The 8,662-nt window shown below is 37.9% G+C and overlaps 1 annotated feature.

The window, feature by feature from the left end:
• Positions 3,916-4,520: an enhancer, noted in NCBI's record as "OCT4-NANOG hESC enhancer chr16:60251661-60252265 (GRCh37/hg19 assembly coordinates)". NCBI's record gives its function as "activates a minimal SCP1, AML or CMV promoter by ChIP-STARR-seq in primed H9 embryonic stem cells {active_cell/tissue: H9 hESC(primed)}" and the evidence as "EXISTENCE:reporter gene assay evidence [ECO:0000049][PMID:30033119]".

Below are 8,662 nucleotides of genomic sequence, written 5' to 3' on the forward strand. Positions count from 1 at the left end.
GAACAAATTTATTCTTTAAGCTAATGTTGAATTTGACAATGGTAGAATATCTCCACTTATGACACATCTCTAGTCTTTTAAATCTAGATAGGGTAAGTTAGGATACCTTGCAAGTAATATGGTGCAAAGAAGAAACTTTTGGCCATAAAATGTATAACCAATCCAATGAACAGATATTTTCTGTTTTGCATTTAAAAATCACTAAGCCACAAAAAACAAACTACAGTGCCCCAAACAACTTTGGAGTATATGCCTATAGAGTTCTTTCTACCGTAATCCTCTTGGTTATGTAGGAAAATAAATGAGAAAACACCTATGAACATTTAAAAACTAAGTCGTTTATAGGAATAGAGTTTAATAGTGATGATGGAATAAAAAAGATACCGAGTATCTGAACAAGCCCCTGAGGAAGATAAGGTCTTTCTATTTTAGAGCTATTGGATATATGTTTGCTTCCCCCTTTAAGTTTCTTCATTTCTTTGTACAATGATCTAGCTCTATTTTCCACCAGGTTTATAGCTAAGGCTTTCACTTTAAATCTGTTCATCTTATTTGTGATCCAGATGACAGAAAGCAATTGCACTAAGTCCTTAAGTCTGTTTGCATTCAAATGGTGCCTCCCAGGCCTGATTTACATTACCCAAGCAGGTTTTGTCTGGAAAATTCACTTTCCCTGTCTGGAAAATTCACTTTCCCTGAGACTTGCATGTGGGTGTCAATTTTCATCAAGGGTGAATCTATTAGTCTCCTTCATTTCCTGATTACTCAAGGTTTTATCAACTAGAAGGGATTTAACATGACTGAAGGATAAGCGCTCTATCCATTTCTCTAGATATGGTAAATTTTCTCTCTGGGTCTACCCAGATAATCACAAAGTCAGGTACCTGGGCCATAATCTTTGAGCCTATGATGGAATAGCTTTTACTGAATGGGACTTTGTTCCATGGACTTGCATTAAAGGCCATAATAAGAGTCAGTCTTAGGAAAACGTAGACCTTACTTGTATCAGGGCCTGAGAAAATTTGTCAACAAGTGTGTCTTTCATAAAAAAGCTCTTAATCGTGATTAAGGCATAGTCCATGGCACACTGGTGAGCTGGGAGGTGTGACAAAATATTGATTCATTCAGTCTTCAGGGACAAATGGCAATGCCCTAGGGCTCATCCTTCCTGGCTGAGAGAAAACTCATCTATTTATCACAGTGCACCTTAAAAATAGACCAATTTCCCTTTGCTCCTTGATAAGAAAAAGTTTGGGAGCACTGCTAATGACTATGCCAGTAGATTTTCTAAGTAACTAGCTTTTATTTTGTATTGTAGGGGCTAAGTAAAACATCCCCTTCACCTTCTGAAGTTTCACTGAAAATTAATTGATAAAGGGCAGATTAATAGAAGAAAAAGCATACGCCAGGCGTAGTAGCTCATGCCTGCAATACCCACACATTTGGAGGCCAAGGCAGGAGGATTACTTGAGGCCAAGAGTTTGAGATCAGCCTGGGGAACATAGTTGAGAGCCGATCTCAACTAAAAAATAAAAAATAGCTGTATGTGGTGGCTGCTACCTCTACTCCTAGCTACTTGGGTAGCTGAGGCAGGAGGATCACTTGAGCTCAGGAGTTTGAGGCTATAGTGAACTATGATTATGCCACCACACTCCAGCCTGAATGAAAGAGTGAGACCTATCTCATAAATAAATAAATAAATAAATAAATAAATAAATAGCATACTAAATTCATTTTAACATACACAGCAGTGGGAAAATTGCAGAAGTGTGATTATCCAATAACCCAATGGGGTACAAAAGTTTATCCTTCATGTAGGGGAGGGGGAAGATGGGGAAAATAGACAATTCTTTTGAGAGGCAGTAAATGATTTTTAGAGAGGATGAATGGGCCTGGGAGGCAGAAATTAACTTGTAAGTAATTCTCTCTGAAATTTGAATGAACCCAAGAGGAAGACATTATCATGTGAAAAATTCTGTCCTGGTGTGGTTACATTACTCAGTCTTCTTTTCTACCATAGATAATGAGATTTTAGGGAGAGGATAAAAGGCAATTGTATTTGTCTTTGGGGGCCCAGATTTTAGGTAGGCAAGAGAACTTCAGAGAAAAGCCTCATCCCATGCTTTGGGAGACATAAAGGGTTAAGAGGCAGGAGTGGAGGAAGGTCAGACGATGCCGGTGTCATTTCTTTAGTTCAGCCATATTTCAGGATAAAATATTCTGATTTCCTTCAGTTTCCCATTTCAAATAATATTTTTAGACAGTTTCACATATTAAAATAGGATTGGTAGTTATGGAGAGAGAAATCAAGTTGGTAATTAAATGGCGAGGTATCTGAGAAAGAAGAAAACAAAATAGATTAGGACGAGAATGAATACATAGAAAAGAATGAATCTGAGCACTTTTCTTCACACCCAGTTAAACCAGTCTCTCATTTCCGGGAATAGGCCAGTTCAATTAAACAGTTGCCTCTCATTCTATAAGATGGTGTTGCAGATATAGTCTCAAAGCTAGGCCTCTATATATGATACAGGCCAAAAGATTGTTAATAAGAGGTATTTTTATGAAAACAGGAAAAAAAAACCAAAGTTTACTATGTACAGTAGTCTATAAAACAGTTTTTCTCTAGTCTGGAGGGCAGCCAGTGGCAAAGACAACTGCATCTAAGCTGAAGCATCTTTAGTTAGAGAAGGGAGGGTAGTGGCAATCTCACAAATTTTCCTGGCATAAAGGTTGTCTATACAAAAGCCATTGTGGTGATTTCTGTGGTTCCTATTTATCAAGCTGTCTAACTTCAGTTTACAGAGCTTCAGGAAAAAGGAATTTTTAATTTCTGCTGATTTTAAGTCAGAAAAGTGGGGTGAAATGGGAAACAGTATGGCAAGTTGCAGCCGGATACTGGAGGAAGCTACAAATTCAGGATTCAGTCCAGATAATAAACGTAACTCAAACATTATGGACAGGGCTAGAATCTAATAGTAGGTGTGCAGTAATTTTCTTCTGAAACATAATTTTTCTTTCTCTGGTCCCTCAGTTCTATAAAAGATGTTTATGGAAAGACTAACTTGTTTGTAAAACAATTTGCATTAACTTGACCTGTAACTTTCTGTAAAGTTACAGATAATGACTTATCATACAGGCTGTACTTAAATTGGCTTTGCTGTAACTTCTCAAAAGGAATCCAAGATTAGACTTTTAAAAGCCACTGAAGGCTAAGAAACCAAGCCAAGAATTTGACTCACCTTCAGACTGGTAATACCTGTATGAATTGGGTGAATTTCTCTCTTCTTGAGGTCTCTAAAACTTCTCTTGAGTTTCCTCAGCCTGTCAAAAAGTGACATTATTTACTTACCACAAAGCTAGGAATTTTATGAGGGAACTGTGTATATAAGGTTCTAGGCAAGTCTTTCCAAGGGTATGAGGTTGGCTTTATAAAGTCAACCCCACCTTCTCAAAGCTGTCTAAAGATATGACATTCCAGTCAAAGTCTGGGTAAAATAATTTGCATCTCCACTTGAGTCCTGTTACAAAAGAAAACAGGTCTTTAGTGAGCTTATGCAAATAACTGTATTGCCATAAAATAATAATACTCATGAATCATCCAAATTCTGGAGGAATCAAATAGTAAGAAAGACAAATGTTTCAGTTTTGTTCAGAAAAGTATAGTTTACCCAATTGCTGTAAGCTATAAATAGCTTAAAAGAAAAAAAGCTTTTTGTACTCTGGAAAACAGAATATAAAAATTATTGATAAGGCTTCAGTGACTGGAGGAACACCAGCGTCCTTGGTTTTGGGCTGATTTAGATAAAACGACATGGATATACATGGAATGATTTGAAGGAGCGGAGAGTTTAAAACGCAAGAAAGAAGGAAGAAGCTCCCCTGTACAGAGACAGAGGGCGGGGGGCTCCAAGTTGAGAGAGGAAACCCCCAGTGCAATGGCAAACAGCCAGTTATATGAGGAGGCTGAAGGAGGTGGTGTTTGATTTGCGTAGGGCTCAGGGGTTTGGTTTGCTCAGGCATGTCATTCACGTAGAGGCGAAGAAACTGGCCCTCTCACCCTGGCCTTTTAATATGCAATTGCAGGGCACCATGATGTTTTACACACGTGGGGATATGTGGAGGTGGCCATGTTGCCAGGCACATTAGGGAAGAAGGGAAAAGATGGCAGGAATTGCCATGTTTGGGTGGAACCAGTTTTTAATGGCCGCATTTGCATATCAAAGCTTGTCCGCCTACCTCTAAGAGCCAGGACTTTCCTGCTAGACAAGAAACGTTTCTGGAGCTGCTTTAAAAGAAACAAAAACTCCCCAAGGACCCTTTTTCTTCTCTATGTGCCCAAAATAATTTCTTAATAACTCTTATAACATGATCAGCAGTGTTTCAAACAAAAAAAAGTTATAAAAAATCATAATTGTTCATCAGTTCAGTCCCATGTGATTAATTCTTGTTCTGCTTGATGTTTGGTTAGCAGTTTTATGAATCTAATTTTTCTTCTATTGGAGCTTTTGAAATTCTTACCCTGTTTAATTGAATAATTTCAGTCATCAGCAGAAGTCTGTATTTCAGAGTACCTGTCAGAATCTTTTTAACTTTTTTTAGGAAACATGAAAACACAATACTTTAGAATTATAGTTGCTTGCAAAGATTTTTGAGAAAAAACATCAGAATTAAAGCTCTTAACTGTGGAGAACAAGGCTTACAATGGCCGTAGTTAAAGATGGAACTGACAAGGAAATTTGGTTATTTTCTGTTACAACAATTTAATATATCAGATTTTTAGGAATCATAGTCAACTTTGGGGTGCATACCAATAATACATTTATACAAATATAACTCAGAGAAAGTTAAGCATCATTTTTTATTTGCTAATGTCTTCTATATTATTTAACATATTAAATAAGCCTGATTAGGTTTATTATCTTTCTTTCAGATGTTTTCAGGGTTTCTCTGCATTTTTCCCAAAGTTAGTTTGAAGTCATAAAGACTTAATTTAGAATACAAAATTTGATTTGGGGAAGATTGTCAAATATTTCAAAGGTTTATAACACTTGATCAAAAAAAGATTATAGGTCACTGTAAATTAATAGTCATTCATTTAGCCAAAGTGATAAGTAAAACATTTTAAAAATCAAAAACCTTTGTTCACTGATAGAAAACTAAATTTTCCAAGCAATCAAAAGGCCTAATAAAGACAATGTGAGACATACAAAATCTCTCCTCTTTCTCAACCTTCCCCTTTTGCAGTTCACTCAAAGGTGAATAAAATATTTTGCTATCTTATATTAATATTACACAAAAATCTTGTTCAAAAGAAAAAAACAAAGTTAACTTTTGTAGAAATGTGTCGTTAATACTAAAGCTAATTTTAACAAAATTTTATAAACAAATCTATCTAATAGCATTCAGCATTGACCACACAAACATACCCATAAACTTTCATAACCACTTAAAATTTTTAAAAATTTCGTAGCTTTTTATATCCACTACTTTTGCCTGCCTTTTTAAAATTTTGAAACAACATCTAGATAACTCCCAAACTAAACAAAATTTATTTTCTTTCAACAAAATCCACTTCTTCATGACTTCCTTAAAACATTTTTCATCAAAAACGTGTCTTCTGTTTGTTTGTTTGTTTTTGGTACTCAGCATGTGAAATTGTTTCTCTTAATTTTAGCACTTGTAATTACATATATTAACTATAGTTTTAACTCTTTTTTTTCTTTTTTTTTTTTTTTTTTAGACTGAATCTTACTCTCTTACTCTGTCACCTAGGCTGGAGTGCAATGGTGCAATCTCGGCTCACTGTAACCTCCGCCTCCTAGGTTCAAGCAATTGTCCTGCCTCAGCCTCCCCAGTAGCTGGGATTACAGGTGCCCGCCACCACATCCAGCTAAGTTTTGTATTTTTAGTAGAGGTAGGGTTTCACCATGTTGGCCAGGCTGGTCTCGAACTCCTGACCTCAGGTGATCCGCCAGCCAAAAGTGTTGGGATTACAGGCATGAGCCACCACACCCGGCCAGTTGTAACTCTTTATAACCTTAATTTTCAGTAAAAACATAGGAAGTAAGAAATTTTAATTGTTATATACCAAAACATTTTATGAATACATATTTTATAATTTCTGGAAGCATAGGCTTGTTTGTAGAACAATTTTTTCAATGTGAAACAGATCATATTTACCAACAAATTCATATATCTTTTTCTTTAAAATAAGACAAAAGTATGTAAGCTTAAACTCATTTAGTCATTGTTGTTTTAGCATTATGTTAGATTTGGAAATAATCTAGATATTAAATGAATATCCATCATTTAATTTAGCTAAGCCTAACTCTAAGTGTACCAGTTATCAAAGAGATTTGAAAACTTTTAAGTAAACTGATAATGAAACGTAATTATTACTAAAAAGTTTATTTTGTTTAGATTTATCTAATTTACTCATTTTTAACAATTAGATTTGAATTGTTCATGAAAAATAAAGCTAGCCATTTAAATTATATTATGTTTCTCTTTTGAAAAAGCAAAACCAGGCTAATCCTGTATTCACCAGTCTTATCTTAAGCAAAGCCTGTGAGATACTGGACACAGGTACCCTCCCCAGTGTCTTCTCCAATTGTCCTGGGTTTCCACATAACACCCAGGGTAGCTATGAAGGACAGGGCTTATCTGTGTCCTAGATTTACCCACTAGGTGTAGACCCCAGGATAGAGGGCAGAGCTGTGAGAAGATGTGTGAAGGATCCAGCCCTTCCCATATGGCCAGGAGGTAGAGCTGGGCCAGGGAGGATGGGGCCATGTATGAGGCTTGGCTCTGCCCTGCAGCTTGTGGCAAAGGCACTGTGGACACATGTATGTCCCCAGGCCTCACCATGGACCCCGTCTAGAGCTCACAATCTAGAGGCTCAAAACCAAAGACACAAGCTTATAGTAAAATATGTGCAGGACTTTTGGGGAGCCCAGATGCCAGACCTCAAAACTTTACCTTACAGGTAAATCAAGCAAGTATTATAGAAATGACAGTTTTATCACCTTAATATCTATCAAAGATTGCATAAACCTGTCTGACCAGTTGCCCTAGGCAAAAATGTCTAAATTAAATTCTGAAGACATTTTCATTTTGTTTTACAAACAATTTAAAAACCACCTTTGTTTACTAAGGATTACTAAAGTTATGTGAACTTGAAAAGCACTTGGCCTTATTAATTTATGAGTGCTCATTTATTTATAAGTCAATTTGTTCCCCTGTAGATGATACACAAACACAGACAGGTACACATGTATACATAAAAATACAAATAGAAATATAAATTTCATCACTTTGGTTTTACAATTTTAGCCACAAAACAAGTAAAACTCACTAGCTTAAAATGACAGTTGGATTCAAACTATGACTTTAAATGGCACAAAGTTAATCTGGTGCACATACTAGAAGCTCTTGAGTTTTAGAGAAAATTAGGGAGAGCAAATCTACTTCTGAAAGCACAGAGAGACACTTAAGTTTTTTTTGTTTTGTTTTGTTTCTTTTGAGAGGGACTCTCGAATCTTGCTCTGTCGGGGAGGCTGGAGTGGAGTGGCACGATCTCGGCTCACTGCAACCTCCGCCCCCCGGGTTCAAGCGATTCTCCTGCCTCAGCCTCCTGAGTAGCTGGGACTACAAGTGCATGCCACCGCACCTGGCTAAATTTTTGTAGTTTTAGTAGAGATGGGGTTTCACCATGTTAGCCAGGATGGTCTCGATCTCTTGATCTTGTGATCTGCCCACCTCAGCCTCCCAAAGTGCTGGGATTACAGGCGTGAGCCACCGTGCCCGGCCAATTTTTTTTTTTTTAAGAGACAGGGTCTTGCTCTGTTACCCAGATTGGAGTACAGTGCCACAATCACAGCTCACTGCAGCCTTGGCTGCCCAGGCTCAAGCAATCCTCCCACCTCAGCCTCCTCAGCAGCTTAGACTACAGGTGAAAGCCACCATGCCCAGCTAATTTTTTTTTTTTTTTGAGGCGGAGTCTCGCTTTGTTACCCAGGCTAGAGTGCAGTGGCGTGGTCTCAGCTCACTGCAACCTCCTCCCCCCGGGTTCAAGCGATTCTCCTGCCTCAGCCACCCAAGTAGCTGGGACTACAGGCACGTGCCACCGTGCCCGGCTAATTTTTTGTTGTTGTTGTTTAAGTAGAGACGGGGTTTCACCGTGTTAGCCAGGATGATCTCGATCCCCTGACCTTGTGATCTGCCCGCCTCAGCCTCCCAAGGTGCTGGGATTACAGGCGTGAGCCACATCACCCGGCCCGACACTGTAAGTTTTCACAAGAAGGAGTTGGGTGTGTCAGAAGATGATTAAAAAGGGATGCCACAGCAACACAAAATAATAAGAATTTACAATAGGATTTTATATGAATATCAATTTTAGTTAGATAGGCAGCTTTCAGTTTAGTCTCCATTTTTCAACTGTACCACTGAAGTCAGGAGGAACAAATAAATAAATAGGGCCGATGAAGCGTTTGAAGCTTCTCAGGCCCAGTACTCACACATGTAAAAGGCAGGTACAGCTGTAAAGTGAGACACCTGGATCTCCATAAATCAAGGATTCCATTCCTGAACTGAATCCCAGGTATCCCAAAGCGGAGGCAAAAGCTCAAGAGGGAAATGCCACGAGCTGGGCTCTGTAATG

This window comes from Homo sapiens, chromosome 16, assembly GCF_000001405.40.
Source record: "Homo sapiens chromosome 16, GRCh38.p14 Primary Assembly".
In the NCBI taxonomy this organism is placed as follows: domain Eukaryota; kingdom Metazoa; phylum Chordata; class Mammalia; order Primates; family Hominidae; genus Homo; species Homo sapiens.